We start from the raw sequence: 23672 nt of genomic DNA, 5'->3' as shown, positions 1-23672 counted from the left end.
GGCAGTTATTCTCCCCTGTGGAACATTACCCCAGCAGTCTGAAAACCACCCCTATCCCCCACAGTGGCCACAGCACACCCTGCCCAAGGAGAGAGAGTCTGTGCTCAGACCCGCCTAACCCTGACCCCACCTGATGGTATTTCTCTACCTGCCCTGGTAGCTTAACACAAAGGACATAAACTCTTGGGGAGCTTTATGGCCCCGCCCAATGCCTGAGAAACCAGAATACTTCCCCTGGCCAACTTTGGATAAGCTCAAATCCCACTGCTACTACTGTACCTGGTGCTGTCTTGCAAACGCCACCTCCTGGCTGGAGGCCAACCAACTCAGGCCTTTACAGCAACCCATGACAAAGAAATACTGCTCGCAAGAAAGAGAAAATAACAGCCAATTCCACCACCTGTAACATGCTGGCTAACCAGAGGTCCTGAGTCTGTCCTTGTGACAACTTCACTACTAGCATAACTAGCATACTAGAAAGCCAGCACATTAGCCTATCTACAATGGAGGAATCTCACAGAGTCTATGTCACTCCCCTGCTACCTCCATCAGAGCAGATGCTGGTATCCACTGCTGGGAGACCTGAAGACAGTCACATCATTGGACCCTTTGTAGATATTCCCCAGTACCGGCCCAGAGCCTCGTAGTCCCACGGGTGGCTAGACCCAGAAAAGCAGAACAATCATTGCAGTCTGGCTGGGTGCGGTGGCTCACGCCTGTAATTCCAGCACTTTGAGAGGCTGAGGTCAGCAGATCACCTGAGTTCAGAAGTTTGAGACCAGACTGGCCAACATGGTGAAACCCCTTCTCTACTAAAAATACAAAAATTAGCTGGGCATGGTGGTGCATGCCTGTAATCCCAGCTACTCAGGAGGTTGAGGCAGGAGAATCACCTGAACTGGGGAGGCAGAGGTTGCACTGAGTCGAGATCACGCCACTGCACTCCAGCCTGGGTGACAAGAGCAAAACTCTGTCCAAAAAACAAAACAAAACAAAAAACAAAACAATCATTGCAGTCTGGCTCTCAGGAAGCCCCATTCCTAAGGGAAGGGGGACAGTACCACATCAAGGGATTACCCCGTGGGACAAAATAATCTTAACAGCAGACCTTGAGTCCCAGATCTTTCTGCCAGTGGGAGGTTTCTTACAGCAGAGACATAACTGCAGTGCTGGGGGCAGTAGGGAAAGTCTGCACCTCTACCCTAATAGGCAGGCAGCCTCTCTGATTAGGAAGGGACTTGGAGAAGGGGTCCTTGTTCCCCTCTGGCACACCACTGCAGACAAAGCTGGGGCTTCTCCTACAGGAATGCAGCATGGATGCACCTACAGACAGCCTTCCTGGAACAATCCAGGATGAGGGCAACCCCACAGGAGGAGATAATCGAGATAATCAGATCTTAAGAAAAAGAAAAAAGACATCTGAGTCAGACCTGCATGAGAAGCAGAGTCACAACCCCTCCCTACTTGGAACATCAACATTTCTACAGATGAAAAGAGGTGCCTGTCTGATCTGAATAGCCAAAACACTAAAATAGGAATGAGGCTGTGAGGTGGATAGCTTTCCTGCTGGCCTGGCAGGGGAGCTGGGATAGCTCTCCCTCTTCACCCTGATGAAACCTCAGCACATCTAATTGAGAGCTCCCCCAGCTACCCTCATCAAGACTGGGATCTTGGCCCACCATTGAGTATTATATCTACCCACCTGCCTTATCTACAACCAGTCCCTACCCAGGGATACCTCTCCCATTGGCCTGAAGCCTGAATCATCGTTTGGTCAATAAAATACTGGGAAAAAATTAAGTGTATACCATGAGAGAATGAGATAAGCTTCAAAAGATCTCTGCCATTTCATCCCCAAAGAAGACAGTGAACTCTCCCACACCCCAAGAACATAACGACTACAACCACATCTGGGAAAGCCAGCACACAAATAATCCCTTCAACTAAGAAACACATACAAAGTTTTCACTCCTAAAGGCACCACAAATCAAATTAAGCTAAAATAATCATTAAAGTCCAATCGTTGAGAGGAAAAATGAAATAAAAAAAAACATAGTCCAAACAAAAATAAATTCAAGAACAATTTGAGGAAATGGTCTAATCAAATGAAAAGAAACCAGAAAAGTAAATCTAACAATATGACAAAACAGGGATCTATGGTACCCCAAAAAGATCACACAAGCTCCCCAGCAATGGATCCAGACCAAGAAGAAATCTCTGAATTTCCAATAAAGAATTCCAAAGGTTATTAGGCTACTCAAGGAGATACCAGAGAAAGGGATAAACCAACTTAAAAAAATCCAGGATATGAATAAAAAACTTTCCAGAAAAATAGTAGAAAAAAAATCAAAACTTCTAGAAATTAAAGACACACTTAGGGAAATAAAAAATAAAGTGGAAAGTTTCAACAGTAGGCTAGAACAAGGAGAATAAAGAATTTCAGAGCTAGAAGATAAGACTTTTGAACTAAACCAATCAGATAAAGAAAAAAGAGTTTTAAAAACTGAACAAAGTATCCATGAAATATGGAATTATGTAAAATGGCCAAACCTAAGAATAATTGGTGTTCCTGAGGAAGAGAAATCTAAAAATTTGAAAAACTTTGAGGAAGTAATTGAAGAAAACTTCCCTTGCTAGAGATCTAGACATCCAAATACAAAAAGCTCAAAGACTCTTGGGAAATTCATCACAAAAGATCATCACCAAGGCACATAGTCACTGGGCTATCTAAAGTCAAGAAAAAGTATTGAGTATTTCTCACTTAGGAGCTGTGAGAAAAAAGCATCAGGTAACCTACAAAGGAAAACCTATCAGATTAAAAGCAGATTTCTCACAAGAAACCTTACAAGCCAGAAGGACTTTGGGTCCTATCTTTGGTCTCCTTAAACAAAACAATTGTAAGCCAAGAATTGTGTATCCAGTGAAACTAGGCTTTATAAATGAAGGAGAAATAAATTCTTTTTCAGACAAACAAATGCTGAGAGAATTTGCCACTACCAGATCAGCACTACAAGAAATGCTAAAAGGAGTTCTAAATCTTGAATCAAAACCTCAATATACACCAAAATAGAACTTCCTTAAAGCATACATCTCACATGGTCTCTAAAACAAAACACAATTAAAAAAAAAAAAACCAAACTATTTAGGCAACAACTAACATTATGAATATAAAGGGACCTCACATCTTAATACTAATGTCAAATGTAAATGGCCTAAATGTTCTACTTAAAAGACACAGAATGGCAGAATGGATAAAAATTCACCAACCAAATATCTGCTGTCTTCAAGATACTCACTTAAGACATAAGGACTCACATAAATATAAGGTAAAGGGGTAGAAAAAGATATTCTAGGCAAACGGAAACCAAAAGTGAGCTGGAGTAGCTATTTTTAGATCAGACAAAACAGACTTTAAAGCAAGAACAGTAAAAAAAAAAAAAAAAAGACAATGAGGGACATTATATAATGATTAAAAAATTTGTCCAACAGGAAGGTATCACAGTCCTAAATATATATGCACCGAACACTTAAGCTCCCAGATTTATAAAACAATTACTACTAGACCTAAGAAATGAGATAGACAGCAACATAATAACACTGGGGGACTTCAATAAAACACTAGATCAATCATCAAGACAGAAACTCAACAAAGAAACAATGGACTTAAACTATATCCTAGAAGAAATGGATTGAGCAGATGCAGAATATACATTATTCTCATCAGCATGTGGAATATTCTCTAAGATAGACCATATGCTAAGTCACAAAAAAAGACTCAATAAATTTAAGAAAATCAAAATCACATCAAGTATCTTCTCTGATCACAGTGGAATAAAACTAGAAATCACCCACAAATAGAACCCACAAAAAACTATACAAATATATGGAAATTAAATAATCTGCTCTTGAATGATGTTTGGGTCAACAATGAAATCAAGATGGAAATTTAAAATTATTTGAAATGAATAATAGTGACACAACTTATCCAAACTTCTGGGTTACAGCAAAAGCAGTGCTAAGTGGAAAGTTTACAGCATTAAATGAGTACATCAAAAGTCTGAAAGATCACAAACAGACAATCTAAGGTTACACTTCAAGGAACTAGAGAAACAAGAGCAAACCAAACTACAAACCAGCAGAAGAAAAGTAATAACAAGGATCAGAGCAGAACTAAATAAAAATGAAACAAAAAAATTACAAAATATCAATGAAATTAAAAGCTGGTTCTTTGAAAAGATACATAAAATTGACAGAGCATTAAAGAGATTAACTAAAAAAAGAAAAGAGAAGATCCAAATAAGCTCAATTAGAAATGAAATGGGAGATATTACACCCAATATCACAGAAACACAAAAGATCATTCAAGGCTACTATGAACACCTTTATGCACATAAACTAGAAACACTAGAGGAGATGGATAAATTCCTAGAAAGATACAAACCTCCTAGCTTAAATCAGGAAGAATTAGATACCCTTAACAGACCAATAACAAGCAGCAAGATTGAAATAGTAATTTAAAAATTACCTACCAACAAAAAAAGTCCAGGACCAGATGAATTCACAGCAGAATTCTACCAGACATTAAAAAAGGAATTGGTACCAATCCTATTGACAGTATTCCACAAGATAGAGAAAGAGGGGACCCTCCCTAAATCATTCTATGAAGCCAGCATCACCTTAAAATTAAAACCAGGAAAGGACATAACCAAAAAGAAAACTGTGGCTGATATCCCTGATGAACACAGACACTAAAATCCTTAACAAAATACTAGCTAACTGAATCCAACAACATATCAAAAAGATAATTCACCATGATCAAGTGGGTTTCATACCAGGGATACAGGGATGGTTTAGCATATGCAAGTCAATAAATGTGATACATCACATAAAGAGAATTAAAAACAAAAATCATATGATCATCTCAACAGATGCAGAAAAAGCATTTAATAAAATCCAGCATCCCTTTATGATAAAACCTCTCAACAAAATTGGCATAGAAGGGACATACCTCAAAGTAATAAAAGCCATCTATGACAAACCCACAGCCAACATCAGACTGCATGGCGAAAAGATGAAAGGATTCCCCCTGAAAAATGGAACAACACAAGGATGCCCACATTCCCCACTTCCATTCTTCATGGTACTGAAAGTCCTAGCCAGAGCAATCAGACAAGAGAAGGAAAGAAAGGGCCTCCGAATTGGAAAACAGGAAGTAAAACTGTCGCTGTTCACCAATATGATTGTACATCTAAAAAACCCTAAAGACTCACTCAAAAAGCTCCTAGATCTGATAGATGAATTCAGCAAAATCTCAGCATACTAAATCAACATATGCATCAATAGCACTGTTATACACCAACAACGACAAAGCTGAGAATCAAATCAAGAACATGATCCCTTTTACAACAGCTTCAAAAAATATAATACTTAGGAATATACTTAACCAATGAGGTGACAGATCTATGTAAGGAAGATTACAAAACATTGCTTAAAGAAATCATATGTGACACAAACAAATGGAAACACATTCTATGCTAATGGATGGGTAGAATCAATACTGAGAAAATGACCTTACTGCCCAAAGGAATCTACTGATTCAATGGAATTTCCATCAAAATATCATCACCATTCTTCACAGAACCAGAAAAAAGAATCCTAAAATTTATATGGAAACACAGAGGAGCCCACATAGCCAAAGCAATACTAAGCAAAAAGAACAAATCTGGAGGCACCACATTACTCAAATGCAAATTATACTACAAGGCTATAGTTACCAAAACAGCATGGTACTGGTATAAAAATATGAACACAGACCAAGGGAACTGAGTAGAGAACTCAGAAATAAAGCAAAATACTTACAGTCAACTGATTTTCAACAAAGCAAACAAAAACATAAAGTGGGGAAAGGACACCTTATTCAACTAACAAGCCACAAGTAGAAGAATGAACTGGATCTTCATCTCTCACTTTACACAAAAATCAACTCAAGATGGATCAAATACTTAAATCTAAGAGCTGAAACCATAAATGTTCTTCAAGATAACATCAGGAAAATTCTTCTAGACACTGGCTTAGGCAGAAAAATCATGACTAAGAACACCAAAGAAATACAACAAAAACCAAAATAAATAAATGAGACCTAATTAAACTAAAAAGCTTCTGCACAGCAAAAGAAATAATCAGCAAAGAGACAACCTAGAGTGTGGGAGAAAATATCTGCAAACAATGCATCCGACAAGGGATTAATATTCAGAATCTATAAGGAACTCAAATGAGCAAGAATAAAAACAAATAATCCCATCAAAAAATAATTAAAGAACATGAATAGACAATTCTCAAGATATACAAATGGCCAATGAACATAAAAAATGCTCAACATCACTAATTATCAGGGAAATGCAAATCAAAACCACAATGACTTACTACCTTACTCCTCCAGCTTAGAGGAGTAAGGTGGTAAGACCATAATTAAAAAGTCGAAAAATAATAGATATTTGCATGGATGTGGTGCAAAGGGAACTCCTTTACGTTGCTAGTAGAATTGTAAACTAGTATAACCACTATTGAAAACAGTATGAAGATTCCTTAAAGAACTGAAAGTAAAACTATCATTTGACCTAGCAATCCTACTACTCGGTATCCACCCAAAGGAAAATAAGTCATTACATGAAAGAGACCCATGCACATGCATGTTTCTAGCAGCGTAATTCACAATTGCAAAAATATGAAACCAACGTAAATACCCATCAGCCAATGAGTGGATAAAGAATATTTGGTATATATGTACTGTGGAATACTACTCAGCCATAAAACAGAATGAAATAATGGTCTTTGCAGTAACTTGGATGGAGCTGGAGGCCATTATTCTAACTGAAGTAATTCAATAATAGAAAAGCAAATATCCTATGTTCTCACTAGTAGGTAGGAGCTAAGCTATGAGAATACGAAGGCTAAGAATGATATAAAGGACTTTAGGGACTCGGGGGGAAGCGTGAGTTCGTGGGTGAGGGATAAAAGGCTACATACTGGGTACAGTGTACACTGCTCGGGTGATGGGTGCACCAAAATCTCAGAAATCATTACTAAAGAACTTATCCATGTAACAAAAAACAACATGTACCCCCAAAACTATGGAAATTAAATAAAAAAAACCCGTCATCCAAGTAGAGAAAAAAATGTCCCTTTCTCAGGACTGTAGCAATAACCAAACCCTCTGCTTATGTCAATGTATTAACTTAAAGTTTTCCAAGAAGCTGCTTCTAAAAGAAGAAAATGACAGATTAAGCTATGTTCAGCAAAGAAAGAAATTATTAAATTTTGTGTGTTTAATTGCTAATAATGAGCTGAAATTATAGCAGAGAGAACATCAATTCTTGAAGGCAGTTTAAAAAGGAGGCTGGTTTCCAGGAAGCTTAGGGGTACATCCTGACTCCTCTTCTGAACTGTGACCTGGGGTAAGTTACTTAAATTCTTGGTTTTCTCATTTAAAAATGAAAACATAATTACCAGCTTTCAGTGCACTGACAGATAATGAAAACAAAATGGGCAAGAAAAGAGTTAACGTATTGGGCCTGACTGCTGTCCTTTGAAAGGGTTGCTTATAAGGTTGGCTTTCGCTGGAGTTTGGGAAGTTGGATTTTGGAAAGTTTCTCAGCATTCTCAGAAAGGATAAAAATGGCAAGCTATTCCTCGACAATAGGGTTTATGCTGAACATGTGTTTTCCTTCTGGGAATCTGGGATTTTGGTATATCCCAGGCACAGGCTGCCTACGTGGCCAGCCTCAATAAAAAAAGTTCCTCTGGTTGGCAACATTTCACACATATTGTCACACTTAGTTGTTGAGGGAATTAAGTGCATTCAGTGTGACTCCACTGGCAGAGGACTCTGAATAATTTCATCTGATTTCTTCTCGAAAAGGTGCCCCATGCACCTTTTTCCTCTGCTGATTGTGCTTAGCGTCCTTTTGCTGGAAGAAAGTCATGGCCATGAGTACAGCCATATGCTGAGTGCCCTGAGTCCTCCTCTTGAATTACTGAATGTGAAGTCTTGAGGACATAAAATACCTAGCATACTACCTAGCAAATAAAAACGCATGCAATAAATAAATGTATTTATCTCTGCCATCATCTTGATATATTGATGCTATTACTCTGAATGAAACTGCAGGTAACAGTGATATTGATGTGGCAAGACCAAAAATTTGGAATGGTTTCCTGTATCAGGTTTTTAACAGAGATGTGTGCACAACGCATATCCCAAATACATCCTCACACATATCTGAAGGGTTTATGAACGAGGACATTCATGATTGTTATTTGTGGAGAATTGGAGGCCACTTGTGTGGTTTTCACTGGAAAATACAGGGGTAAAATGTGTTGGTGTGTATTGTTAGGCATCAGGCAACTACAAAGGAGTATACGAGCATGCAGTAACAGGCAGAGTAAAAAGAGTAAGAAGAAATCAGATACACACCATTTTATTTATGAAAATTAGATACATGCATACAAGACAATATGCATGAACATATAAAAACAAAAGGTACTCAATGGCTACATTAGAATGATTTTCTATGGTACCAACAATATGATTTTGGGAAGGGGAAGTGGAAATGTGATATGGAAATGAAAGAAAGTATTTTACTTTTAAAATAAGATTAGAGCCCTGTACAGATCAATAATAGTGATGTGCCACGAACAGAGGAGTAGGATCAACTCATCTTTCTGTCCCTGGGATCCAAAAAAATCAACTTCACCCTAAAACTATAATATGACCATGATGATGACGATAATAGTTGTATTGGCCATCACTGACTAATGTACCAGGTACTTACTCCTTGGTACAATTCTTGGAGGTACGCACTGTTAATATCCTATAGATGACAAAGCTAGGGCACAGAACAGTAAAGCTACTTACTAAGGTCACATAGTAGACTTTAGAGTCAAGACATACACAAAGCATGGAGAAGAACCCAGGAATTGATTAGAAGATTTCAGGATGCTGAAGTTTAGCCTGGGCCTGTGTGATCATTGGATCTTGGGTCTATTCTTGAGAGGCTGCCCTCCCTCCTTCCGTTTAACATTCTTTGGGCATATGTTAAGTGTCAGGCAGTGTTCTCAAGATGCAAATTGTAACATTCAAAACAAGAAATGATGCTAGATATTAAGTGAACCTTCACATCGAAGGTACAGGGAACTCCAGTAGACCTGTACCCTTTGCCAATTTAATATTAATTAATTATTATTTAATTAATATATTATAATAAAATAAATATATTATATTTTATTAAAATATAATATATTATATTATAATAAAATATAATATATTATATTATAATAAAATATAATATATTATAATAAAATTATAATATATTATATTATAATAAAATATATTATATTATAATAAAATATATTATATTATAATAAAATATAATATAATGTTATATTATAATAAAATATAATATTATAAAATATAATATAATACAATATATTATATTATATTATAATAAAATATAATATTATATTATATAATTAATTATATTAAATATAATATTTAAATAATTAATTAAATATTAATTATTAATTAATTAATATTTCCTTTTTCAGTTGTTTCTAATGACCCTCGTGAAATGGAGCTTATATGCCTTTGTAAGACTAATTTTGCAGCATGAGTTTTGTGTCTGAGTAAATCAAATCATTTGTGAGTGAAGACTGCAGGCCTCTGGCATTCACAACTTGCCGATTTCTTGGTCTCACCCTGTGCACTATTTCTTTTAATTTAATAAAGGATAAATTTCCTTTCGTGATCCTAGCAACCTACAGAAGGAAATATTAACCTCACTTTACATCAGTGGTTCTCAACTGGGACAAGGGAACAACTGCCCAACAAGGGACATAGAGCAATGTCTGAAGACAATTTTGGTTATCACAATGGGGTAGGGGGTTTGCTACTGGCAACTAGCAGGACAGAGGTTACAGATGTTGATAAGCACCTACTGTGCATGGGATATGTACCACAACAGAGTTACCTAGCCCAAAATGTCAAAAGTGCTGTTGTTGAGAAACCCTGCTTTATATATAAGGAAACTGAAAAATTATATACCATGACATTCATGAATGTGGAGATTCTAGAACATAGTAGGTTATCTTGCTTATGGATATCGAGGATCTTGTGGCATAGCCATTTTCAGTGAATCCTTCTGCATTTCAAGTGTAGCTCCCTTTAAAAAGCTGTTGTGATGCTGCTGCAATCAATTATATTTGAATGGGAAGTGGAAAAAGCAAAAGAGGAATCCTTTGACAGTTACCTGCTCACTACAGGCTTTTCTTTGACGTGTGAGAAAGAAGAGTCAAACACAGAAGAAAAAAAACAAAAACAAAAACAAAACAGTGACTTTGTTATTGGGTCACATCATTCTGATGGAAATTGATGGGTCAGATTCCACATTTGGGGAGCAAACAGGGATATTGTTTTGGACATTTTGGTTTTGCCTTATACAACAAGATTTTTATTTTTATTAAGCTCCTGCTCACAGCAAACAGTTCCCCCAAGTGAACAGTGCTAAGCCCTCAAAAAGCAATTGGAATGGGAAAAAGAGGCCCAATGATAAGATCAAGATATGAACTATCAACCCTGGCTACTGGGTGATAAGTTTAACTTTCTGACCTTCATTGGAAATCACATTAGTAAAGTGCTGATAAAACACTCTGAGCTGGTGGGTGGAAGGTGTATGTTTCCAAAAGCACTCCATGGACTTGCGGGCCCAGCATAATACGAGGCTGTATTTATCTCTGTAATTTCCGGAGGGCACACACTGTCATTTCACATTTATGCTGAATGCCATGCCCGGTAAAGGCTCACAGATTGGGTATTAGGACTTATCCCTAAACCAGAGCATAATCAGAAATCTTTCCAAAGGCAATAAAGAGTAAGTGAAGGAATTCCCCCTGCTTTTTCAGTAGCATCTGTGATTTCCAAATGGACCCCAACAGAGAGCTTCAAGTGCTGCTAAAAGCGCTCATTTACTTAAGGGCTCTTTTAGCAATTTAAATTCTATGGCTATTGAGATATGACCTATCTGCTCACGGGGTCACCCATTCTCCCCCTCTGAAATAATGCCCTTTATACCACATCTTCACTTAAGAGATGATTGTACCAAGTATGAGGATGATATTATAGACCATAAGATCATGTGTGGCTGAGTTTTGTTGGTCACAGGGACAGTTGTGCTGACCCATGGTGGTCAAAGTCATTGCCTGTTTGCATCCAGTTTACAGATTTTCTTCGAAGAAACCAATACTAATATGAGATCGGCAATTTATCCAAAGTCACAGAGTTTGCAGATTCAGGATGCAAATCCACGCTGTCAAAGTGTCACTCGAATGTATCATAACCTGATTATGACAATTATTTTAACGATCTAAGAGAAAATCCTTGAATGCACTGTGTAATCTGGCCTGGGTTATTACCCTCTTTATTAATAACAGTTTAATGGACATGAAAGAAATTAGGCTATCTCCATTTTAAACCCTTTCATATACTTTCTTTGTGCCTTTTCATAACAGTTTTCTGTGAAGTATTCCATTGAGACCATTTGGAGTTGTTTTCATTTCTTAATTATTTATGTATTTATTTATTTATTTTTATTTTCAGGCTCTGCTAAATAAGCATTTGATTTAAGGGAAATAAGAGTTGAAAGAAAGACACTGGAAAACTTAAATATAACAGATGTTTATTTGCAGACACCTGATTGAGCTGAATTGAAAGCCCCAGTCTATAAACTAAAAGCTATAAATGTCAGTTGACTAGAACTGACTCATAACCACGTTGAAGCATGGATCACCAACAGATAGCCATTTCAGAATCATAACATCCAAAATGGTTCTTCATCTTGTCAACACCACTGAGGAGTAACATAATTCTTACAGTGGAAAGCATCTTTCATTTCTAAGGAATAGTAGCTGTAGCTTGCAGCTAATTGTCTTAGCAATTACACAGTAAAGAATCTCTTCAAAAAGCCATGGTGGAAATATCTCATTGATATCTTATCTCAGCAAAAACCTGAGCACGGTCACCCCAGCATGCTAAAAAGAAGTAAAATACATTTCTTTGTAAAGCAGCAATTGAAATTAAAATTTGGCTTCAGTTCAGATGGATTTTTATGCAAATTATACAGAAATATCAGGCAAAAAAAATTAACAGTCCTGTGAAATCCACACAAAATAAGTAATAAATTATTTGGTATATTCTACAGAATTCTTCCAATATTCCCGAAGCTCCTAATGGCATGGGCTTAGTAAAAATGCCCTAAGAAGTAATTTTTTTTTGTACTTCCCTCATGCTTCACATTATATGTTAAGAACTTCACCTTTGAAAGAGCTGCTCTTGCATTTATGCTATACTAAACATTTTCAGATGTAAAAGCACTTATTAGGAGTTCTCTGGACATTTTTAATCTGACTCCATTCAAACCAGAAAGAGAGCTCCATCAGTGTTCTAAACTTACTGCAGTTGGATATAGATAATATTTACAGAGGGAAGACTCAGGTGTTATGAAGAGGGAAATAAATGGTAAAGTTGATGGCAAAGTGTGAGTAAATATTTTTGCAATGTTACTATGGCCAGAGGTTGAGAAAACTAAAGTAAGATACCCCAAGACCAATGGACTGTTATCAAGTCCCTGGAAGGAGAGGCTGAGGTGAAGGACAGGGGCAGAGCCATGTCACAAGAGTCTTCCTAGGCTCTTCCATCCACTGGTATACAGTTACCCTGCTCAAAGATACAGAAAAGCAGCTCATTGTGTGATTTTACAAGCTTATTCTCAAAGCTTTGTACACACTCACACAGACACACACTCACCTTGGCAACTATCACTTATGCAGATGGAATGCCTATTCTGCCATGTAACCATGGGAATAGGCCTAGGTCCTAGTGCAGAAAGATGTTTGAAAAAATAGTTCAGTAAAAGATCAAAAACACGGATTAAGGCAGTCTATTTTCTCTTGCCCACTTATGAAACTAATAAATATTGCAAATGGTAGCCACCAATCTCTACATCCATTTGCTTCTCCAATCAGCTGCTAACCCACCACCATATTGCTTTTATTACTCGCCAGCAACTAGGGGAACAACTTTATCAGATTCTTAGGCTGATCCATGAAGAGCAGCTAGGTGTCATTCTGAGTGGCAGTGCTGTATCCCTGTTCAGAAGAAACTATAAATCTGATTCTAAAAAAGAAGGTGATGGAGGTGCTGATGTCAGGGACTAAATAAAGATCCATACATTATCTCACCAACAGAACACCAGTTCCTTAGCTTCCTTTCTTGGCTATGCTGTGGGAGACAGAAGATGACCATAGGCTGTACAGAAAAAGGTAGGAAGTCCCAGAAGACACATAATCTGAGATAATATTGCTGTTGAAACACTCCCATTCTTTTGCTAAGATAAATACATCTCTTGCTGTTTAAGGGGCAGGTGATTGATATTGTTACTTGTGTTTTAGTTAATTCCGCATGTGAAAAAGTGAACCCATGTGGTCAAATACTCAAGATGCATATATAATTTCTTCATAGCCAAATTATCAATGAACAAATATACCTGCATTCTGTGGGTGGTTGAAAAAAACATCCCCAAGCCTGCCTTGAGATACTTCTCTTAGTTGTGTGCAATAAACTAACAAAGTAGGTTAAGACAGCTTACTTGCATTCTGAAACATACAAGTTACTATATATGTCTAGAGCCATAATGGGAGCAGAATGCTAAAATCAACAAATATAAAAGAATAAAATTCAACGCTGGATTTCATTCTGAATGGAAAAAGAAAAGGTAATGCCAAATGTACACTGGTCTAGCAATAGAAGAGAGCTCTAGGGAAAGCTAAAAGATGAAACTTTTGCTTGAAATGGACTTACTTTGGCACAAACCATCTTCTACTATGGAAGCTCTCACACTGGAGACTGCAGCAGATACTTGGTTTTGCTTTATTTTGTTTTCTGAATGTCCTGCACCTAACCACTTTCTATTTTGGGATATGCTCTATTTCTTTGTAAAAATAGGACTCCTCCATCTCCTTGTGGAAGATGTAAGGGTCAGATCTTTTTCTCTTTCCAGTCCAAGCCATAAATGCAAGATCCAGAAAAGCACATTTGGGAACTTTCTACCTGGCACTCTGACATCGTATGAGGTCTCTCAAAGACAAAGTGATGATTTCAATTCACTTTAGGTGATGGTGGTGGAGGCTGTGCTCTCTAGCAGCAGAGGTGGTGTCCTGTACATAATGCTGGTAATACTTCCTGCTCTGTGGCTGCTGGAGCCACCTGGGACCATGTCCAGTCACAAAACCAAGTCCTCCCTTCCTCACCAATGCAGTCAGCTCTCAATATCCTTTCTGCTTAGGATCAGAGTCAATTTATGTTATCTGCAACCAAATATATCCTAACTCACATCAAGACTTAATTTTATGAAGTTGGAACTCATAAACTCTTCCATTTGAAAGCACAATCACATCCATGACCAGTTTGGGCACTGTATTGGGAGTCCGAAGACCTCCAGGATCATCTGGATAACTGCTTATCAGAAGTACCTACAGCAAGTCTTTCCATCCTTCTGGGCTTCAGCTTCTCCATCTGAAAATCTGGGTGGTTTCTGAGATCTACATGTCTACGATCTTCTACGATCTTTGTAGATACCTTTTATGGTTGACAAGACAATGGATAAGAAAGTCACCCAAACCATCTTGAATATTTTTATCCAGTCCATTCCTTCCAGAGGGGAGAAAACTAGAAACATTTCTGATGCTTATGAAAGAACTGTGACAAGGGGTGAGGGCCAGACAATGTATTATGATCTTGGCAACTGAGCTCTAGATGAGCAGTTCAGTTCCTGTGTAGATACCTGCTGTGAACTGAATTGGGTCCTCCCCCAACTTCATATGTTGAAGCACTAATCCTCTATGTGACTGTACTAAGTATAGGGCTTCTGAGAAGTTGATTAAGGTTAAGTGAGGTCATAATGGTAGAGCCCTGATCTGACAGAATTGGTGCCCCTGTAAGAAAAAAGACACCAGTGCTCCGTCTCTCCACCATGTGAGGATGCAAGCCAGGAAGACAGCCCTCATCAGAAATCAAATGCTGCCAGACCTTGATTTGGGACTTTCCAGACTGCAGAAGTATGAGAAAATAATTTCTGTTGTTTAAGCCACCTAGTCTTGGAATTTTGTTATGGCAGCCCAAGCAGACTAAGACGACACTCAAGTCTTTCTCTAAAAATTGTTTGCAAACTTTAATTCATTTGCTTTATCCATTTACCTGTGAGGTATTCTTGTCATCATCATCCCAAAACACCGATATAGTATTTTGCATTTTGAAGGGTTCACGATCATTTATTAATGACTAGAGAGGTATGCAACAGCCTTATTGCTTGAGATATTATCTCCAAGAGGGAAATAGGGATGGAAGTATACATGTGGCATTTGGAACAAGGGTAAAAATAGAAATTGAGGATTTTCCTTGGGGAATGAGATGAAAAAATTCAATCAAAACATTTGAAGCATCATCACATTATCAATGTGCAATGTGTTGTGGAAATAGTTTTCTCAAATACATTTTTTTCTCTAAAATGAGATTTTTTTAAAAAAAGCATTGTTCTCTCCTGTCCTTTCTTCTACTTCCTGCCACTACAAAAGAAGTTTCTTGGCAAAGAAAATCTAAGAATATGATATGGAATTGAAACTGCATTTGACTTAGAGCCAAAGTTGTACATTCTTCAACCTCATTAATAATCTAAGAAGAAGAAAAAAAGCCAATCACATGCCATTTTCCACTCATTTAAATGACTACAATTTTAAATGGGACACAAAGTCCTTGCTGGCAAGGTTGTGATGAAATTAGTGCAGATAGCATTGCAAATTTGCCTAAAACTTTTGGAAGCAACTTGACAATATGGATCCTTAGGATCCTCTTGAGGCTGTAAATATTCTTTGAATGATTTCTTAAGGACATCAGTAGAACAAAGGAGACCAGAGAGATGAAGGAGTTTGTCCAAGGTGACACAGCAAGTTAGTGACTCATCCCCAACATATAACACAGGACTTGTCATACAGTGGGATCCTTATTAAATGTTTACAAATGAATAAACAAATTAAGGTGCCAAAGCACTTTTTTCCCCCCCCATTTTTTTCATTTAAAATTTTTTTTTATTTCAGTAGTGTTTTGGGGAACAGGTGGCATTTGGCTACATGAATAAGTTCTTTAGTGGTGCTATCTGAGATTTTGGTGCACCCATCACCTGAGCAGTGTACACTGTACCCAACGTGTAGTCTTTTATCCCTTGCCACCTCCACCCTTTCCCCCAAGTTCTCAAAGTCCAATGTATCATTCTTATGCCTTTGTGTCCTCACAGTTTAGGTCCCACATATGAGTGAGAACATACAATGTTTGGTTTTCCATTCTTGAGTTACTTCACTTAGAATAATAGTCTCCAATTCCACCCAGGTTGCTGTGAATGCCATTATTTTATTCCTTTTTACAACTGAGTAGTATTCCATAGAACATATATACTACATTTCCTTTATCCACTTGATTGATGGGCATTTCCTCCCAGACATTTGTCCAGCATAGTTAAAAGGAGGACAAATTTATATGTGCAGTGATGATTATTAGAGAATTCACTGTAACTGTGGAAAGACAGTGGAATAACTGTAATTGCTCTAAGAGAAAAGTGGTTGAATTAATGTTTCAGCAATTTGATGAACCACTAAATATATGTTCACTACATATATATTTTCAAATCCATGTTTCTGTATTTGTAAATACTAAGCCTATTTTAGCTAAAAGTTTTAAAGCGACTTTCCCCTAATTAGAAGTAAATTAGAAACCATAAGTTTTGCCCTATTTAACCCCTATTTGAAATCCACCAAAAGCAGGATTCACTTATATGGAAATGTTAACAGGTGGGAGAAATATTTGGCTTGGCATTCTGGAATCAAGCAGAGGACAGGCCATTGAATACCTAAGAGTTTACTTCCTGCTTCCTTTTTCACTAAAATGAGCTCTAATCTGGGCTACACTTTAGTTTTCTTGTTTGGTCAATTACACCTGGATATTGAATCTAAAATGCGGAATTATGGCCACTCATTTCGTGTCAAGACCAGTCAAGGATGTGAACCTTGCAAAGCACTGAATCTGATCAACAGCTGAATCATGAAATCAGAGAGCCTCAGGGTCAGTAGGGACCTATAGAGCTGTCACACCCACCTGAGACCACGTGCTCAAATCTCATCTTCAACATTGCCATCAGGCAAAATAAATAATCATACAAAATAGACTTTTAGATAACCTCTCCTTTCATTTGTGTTTATTAATGCCATATGATGGGAAAAAAATGAAGAGTACATTCTAATCTAGGATAATATCATGCAAGAGCAGGGCAGTGCTCTGATAATGCAAAATCTGGGTTGCGGAGAAATACCTTAAAACTGTGGCTGGTCTGGTTTCATTATATCTTAAGTTTTTCATTCCTTAAGAGTTTGTATTAAGATTCATCTTCTTCTAGAATACGAGATAGAGTATAACTAAAGACAGACCTTTACTGTATATCTAGATATTATTCCATTCAAGACTGAAACCTTGGCCACCACTGATGGTAACTATACTCTGTTCTTGTGTAAATTTAATGTTTAATTCTGTACTTCTGGTTTCTGCCTCCAAAGAATAAAATACTGGCAATTGCTCTGCGGGCATAATAAAAATATAGTTAAATATTACTTATTAGGACTAAGCTACCTAGAACAGTGCAAAATCTGATTTTTCATCACAATAGTAGTGCCTTCATTGTTTTTGCTCAGTATAAAAGCAATCATTGCTCATTGTAACATACCAAATGCTAGAAAAATCACTTTGTTATTCTATCTCTAGAATAGAAGGATCATGAAACAGTCTGGTACATATCCTTCCAAATATTTAATTGTTGTTTAATAACAGATTATTTCCCACTCTGCATAGTTTATAATGGGATCTGCAAAGTACAGCCTGTGAGCCCACCGCCTGTTTTTGTAAAAGCCTGTGAAAAGCTTTATTGGAATACAGCCACACTCATTTATTTACACAGTGTCTGTGGCTGCTTTCACACCAAAACAGCAGAGATGAGTAATTGCAACAGATACCATATGGTCTGCAAAGCTGAAAATATTTACTATCTGGCCCTTTACAGAAAACGTGTGCCAATTCTTCCTCCATAACCTTTATTTCCTGTCAATGTTATATCAACAATATTCTTTTATGATAATTTTATCTAGATCTACCTCATTCTTTTTAAAAGATATGCATCATTAAGTTTTATAAAAATTTTGTAATTTAACCGATATCCAATTGATGGACATTTAAAATTATTTTTATAGGCTGAGATTATAAGTTTCAAGAAACAGGAAATCAAAAGGCATTTAAAGATTGAGCCTGGTAGAGATGTATAAGAACCGTGCTTTAGAAAATGCAATAAAATGTTTGTGGAACCACTTTAGACTGGGTTTTACCTTGAGTGCTTTGGAATAGTTAAATATTGAGTGCTACTTTAAGTATTTTAATTTTCTTCCCAGAAATCCTGGAAGTAGAGAAAGGGATGGGCAAGACACCATGTTATAGTCTAATCGAGAAAATGGGGTGCAGAGCACAGTTCAAAATTCAGCCTTTCTGCAAGCTCAGAAACTGTGCATTCCCTGAATTCAAATGAGTTAGTTTTATCTCTTCTGTACCACCATTTCAAGGAAAGCAACTCGTATGACTTTCATCTCCAAAACCTCAGTACTGTGTCCTCCATCTCCAAGTCCTAAGCTCTTTGTGAAGACACTTGCTACTCCAAAAATAAAAAAAAAAAATCCTTTTCCCAATTTTCTAGCTTCAGTCCAAGGAAGCTAACCTATTAGAAATCCATTTCAAATGTCTGCGCTAGCAAAGACAAAGTTTGTTTTACATGCTGGGAAGGCTCAAGAAAGAGGTAACTCATAATTGAACAACTACTATAAAAAGTTCAAGGTTTCTGAGACTCTGTCTCTACCCAAAAATAAAAATTAAAAAGTAGCCAGGTGTGGTGGCATGTGTCTGTAGTCCCAGATACTCAGGTGGCTGAGGCAGGAGAACTGCTTGTGCTCAGGACATTGAGGCTGCAGTGAGCTGTGATCTTGCCACTGCACTCCAGCCTGGGCGACAGAGTGCGATCCTATCTCAAAGTTCAAGGTTTCAACTGCAAGACATGACCATTCATCCTGCATTTGGCCTTCTAGGTTTGGAGGGTGAAATGCCTTCATAGTCTAAAGTAGTATGTTAGGCGTGGTCTTCTCTGAGCTCTGTATCCCTATGTAACAGCTAAGTTGACATGTCACCTATGTGGTAGGCTATCTTCTTCTCATCTCGTGCATCTCAGCATAAGTGTCACTCCTCCCAGGATGCCTTCTTTGAACATTTGATCCAAATAGGGCCTTCCCCGACCCTTTGCTCTCCATCTCAGTACCTGCTGGTTTTAGTTATAGCATTTGCCAGTGTGCAATTATTTTATTTCATCATTCCTGTTTATTATTTTACTCTATAAGGCTGTGTCCTCGATGAGAACAAGAACCAACCCTGCGGCCGGGCGCGGTGGCTCACGCCTGTAATCCCAGCACTTTGGGAGGCCGAGGCAGGTGGATCATGAGGTCAGGAGATCGAGACCATCCTGGCTAACAAGGTGAAACCCCGTCTCTACTAAAAATACAAAAAAAATTAGCTGGGCGCGGTGGCGGGCGCCTGTAGTCCCAGCTACTCAGGAGGCTGAGGCAGGAGAATGGCGTGAACCCGGGAAGCAGAGCTTGCAGTGAGCCGAGATTGCGCCACTGCAGTCCGCAGTCCGGCCTGGGCGACAGAGCGAGACTCCGTCTCAAAAAAAAAAAAAAAAAAAGAACCAACCCTGCCTGATTCAATCTGCCATCTCTTGTGCTTTGTACCACCTGGAACATAATAAGTGATTAATAAATATTTGCCACATTAAGGAATGAATATTAGAGTAAGCAATTTCTTTATTTGATCTCTAAGTTCTTTGACTCTGGAGACAGCCTCTCCACATTTGAGTACTGGCACCTATGTTTGTTACAAGTAAGACTATGGACAAAAGTAACTTGATTTTCCTGTGCCCCTTTTTCCTCATGAGTAAAAGGCAAAACAAACCCAAAACCTAATCCAGTAGGATTTTATTTTTTGAGATTCAAATTAGTTTGGTCCTGGGGCACAAAGAATATTCTCAAAAAATAGCTACCCTCCATTGCTATTTCTATTACTATGTTATTTTCCAATTTATAAACATAGGTAGAAAAAAGCCATTTGATTGTATTCAAATACAACTGCAGCTTTTTAAAGAACTTTTATATACCTGGTCTAATTTTACACTTTGAAATTCTTGAAAGTTTGGTCAACTGAGGCTCACGCTAACCAGCCTGAATGGGAATGATGAGGAAACTCAAGGCTACAGCAATGCTGTGTCTCACCCAGGTAGGATGTGGCCAAGCAGGTGCTACTCTGACCCTTACCCAGGCTAACATTTCAACATTCAGTTACCCAGTTTAAAAGAGTGAACATAAAACACAAAGATGGAACAAACATTCTATCAAGGTCCACCCTAGAATGCACGACTAAAAATTATTAGTTGGATTCCAGACTGCCTTATTGAATTCTCCTCTTTAGGGAACATAAAAATTGATCAGCTCTTGAAAATTCAAAGTAAAGAGAAAAAAGTAATTTTCAGACTTTTCTTTCTGGCTGTCAGGTAGGAAATAACAAAAACCCTAACTCACAGGTGTATTTTATCAAGTTTCCACCCTGTTAAGCAAGAAGGACAAAATAATTAACTTTTAAACATGATTTTACAACAGGCCCGAATGTGGCTGAGAAGTTATTTACAAAGTTTTTGGTGTATGTGTCAATAATTTCTGCAGTGTTCTCTTTGGGGGACACTGAAACCTCTCTGGGTCAGAAGAATAATACTATGAAATTAATACTCTGTGCCAGGTACCATGCTAGTGTCTTTTCATACTGTTTATCTTATTGTACAATAGCCCTGGCAGGCAGATATTACTATTCCCACTTTATGGAACAGGAAACAAGGACCCAGAGATGTTAACTGTGTTGCCAAAGATCGCAAAGCATACAACAGGCAGAGCCAGGATCTGAGCCCAGTCACGTCTGGCTCCAAAGCACTTTCTTTCCACTGAACAGAGCTGTCTCTGCCTAATTTCTCAGTGCTTTGGGGGATAATAACCCTGAACTAGGACTTGACAGATTTGAGCCTGCTTCGAACTCCCTACTGCTCCATGCGACCCCTGTACTTCCACTTATTCCAAAGGGGCTGCCCTTCTGCTGCTACAGTTTACAAGGAGGGTGGGGAAAGGAAATGACTCATGAGCTAATTTCTGCAAAGCAGATGGAACATCTTGAAGAAAAAGGTTCTGTGCAGAGGCCAAGAAATAAATGGTGCGACCTAAGGATCAGATGGTTCACGAGCTATGAATTCCATGAAAATCAACCTCAAAAATCACCAATAAGAGTTTACTGAGTTTTTACTGTGTAACTGCTCAACACATGGCATCAAAGAAATAAAACATCAAGGGGGCAAATCATATAAAAGCAATATGATTTTAAAATAATACCAAAGACTGTAGCATAATTTGCTAAAGTCGTGCATTTATACAATAAATGTGAAAGACTCCCAATTACAGACTAGTATAATAAGGTCTAGACCAGTAACAATCTTAAATCCTTTGTATGTTTTTTTTTCATTTCATGAAGTGAGAGTTGATCTTGTCCAGGGAGAAGAAGAAGGGAGGATTAGGATTCCAGAAAAGAGGAGTGGGAAAAACAGCAGGACAGAGACAGAAAAATGAGGCCCCTTTCATGGGTCTAATAGCTCATGTAAGGGATACTAGCAAGGAAGACAGCAAGGGCAGCTGGAAGCAGAGATAAAGGCTAAACCATGGGGGAGCTTGACTGTCCATCAAAGGTTTCACAGGTTCATTCGCTGGGTTAAAGAGAGCAGGGGGCTGCTATAATACCAACTGTTACCATCTACTGAGTGGGAACTCTGTAGCAGGCACTATGCTAGGTGCTTGATAGTTTTAATTCCTACACCAGCTCTGCATGGTAGCTGTAACTTTAAAAAAATAATTCCAACTTTCATTTTAGATTCAGAAGGTACATGTGCAGGTTTGTTACATGGGTATATTGCACGACACTGAGGTTTGGGGTATAAATGATCCCATCACCCAGGTAGTGAGCATAGTACCAAATAGGTGTTAGTCCTTGCCCCCCTCCCCAGTAGCCCCCAGTGTCTATTGTTCTCATCTTTATGTCTACGTGTACCCAATGCTTAGCTCTCACTTATAAGTAAGAACATGCAGTATTTGGTTTTCTCTTCCTATGTTTTGCTTAGGATAATGACCTCCAACTGCATCCATGCTGCTGTGAAGGATGTGATTTCATTCTCTTTTACAGCTGTGTAGTATTCCATGGTGTATATATACCATATTTTCTTTATCCAATCCACTGATAGGCACCTAGGTTGATTCCATGTCTTAGCAATTGTGAATAGTGTTGCAATCTTCAACATGAGGCAACTGAAACTCAGAGAGGTTCAGAAGCCAGATTGAAATTATTCAGCTATCAAGATACAGAATAAAAATTCAAGCCAAAGCCCGTATTCTTGTGGTAACATATTACTTCATACATCTTCCCAACTATGCAGTGGTAATATTGATCTAGTATTTGTACAGGGTTTCTGTGGTATTGGATGGAGAAGACTGGAGGAAAGAAAAATAATGGGACTAAAATGAGATGACTGCTGGTCCTTGTTCCAGTAAAAAGAACCGAATGAGGAGGCTGGGATGGTGTGAGGCAGATAATATTAATAGCTACCATGTGTCAGCTGTTTAGCATAGGAGTAGATAGGACTATTTATCCATTATTTTATTTAATCTTCACATTAACTTTTAGAGGTAAAAATTATAATTACTATTTCTATTACCTATTAGGAAACCAAAGCTCAGACAAGCTAAGTAGTTTGTCAAAGGCCACACAATTATTCTGAGGCTGGGCATAGATGCAATGCAACTAATCTGTCTACAGAATGTAAGAACGAGAGAAGGGAAGGAAACACAAGGAAAGGAAAGGGGTATGCTGCAAATAAGGGCCCAGCCGGGCCCGGGGATTGGTTGGGATGGAGCAAATAAAAGTGATGGGTTACTCAAAGTTTATGATATGGTCTGATGCGTGGGCGATCTGAAGAACTGCGTTATCTTTAACAAAAATAGGGAGGAAGCCCTCCTTTAGGACAGAACAAAAAGAATGTTCATAGTGATTTTAAAACAGAGAAGTTTGACCATTGCAGTTAAAATGCTACACAGACATCAAAGAGAAGAAAAATGAACAAAGGGTGTTGAATTTGGAAATTAAGGAAAGGAAGGAAAAAAGGGGTTTGTAGCAGGTTAAGGAGTGAATTAATGGGTGGTGAGGGCACTGAGAAAGAAAATAAGGATTTTATTTTTCTTTTGCAATGTAGCCAAAGTAAAAAAAAGCAAGTATGGCTTAAGATGCAGAGTCAAAGTCAAATAAACTCACTTCTTTTTGAAGAATGAAGAAGCGTTAAGTATATTTTTGTAAGCAT

The 23672-nt window shown here is 37.9% G+C and overlaps 1 protein-coding gene across 9 annotated transcripts in view, besides 1 other annotated feature; it reads right to left on the bottom strand.

Moving 5' to 3' along the window:
* SGCD (sarcoglycan delta) overlaps positions 1 to 23672 on the bottom strand; it is a 1039957-nt gene that overhangs the window by 335079 nt on the left and 681206 nt on the right. The gene's annotated exons all lie outside the window — the stretch shown is intronic.
* Positions 21739 to 22240: an enhancer, noted in NCBI's record as "NANOG hESC enhancer chr5:155837480-155837981 (GRCh37/hg19 assembly coordinates)". NCBI's record gives its function as "activates a minimal SCP1, AML or CMV promoter by ChIP-STARR-seq in naive H9 embryonic stem cells {active_cell/tissue: H9 hESC(naive)}" and the evidence as "EXISTENCE:reporter gene assay evidence [ECO:0000049][PMID:30033119]".

This window comes from Homo sapiens, chromosome 5 (genome assembly GCF_000001405.40).
Source record: "Homo sapiens chromosome 5, GRCh38.p14 Primary Assembly".
Classification (NCBI taxonomy): domain Eukaryota; kingdom Metazoa; phylum Chordata; class Mammalia; order Primates; family Hominidae; genus Homo; species Homo sapiens.
This window is presented reverse-complemented; position numbering and strand designations above follow the sequence as displayed.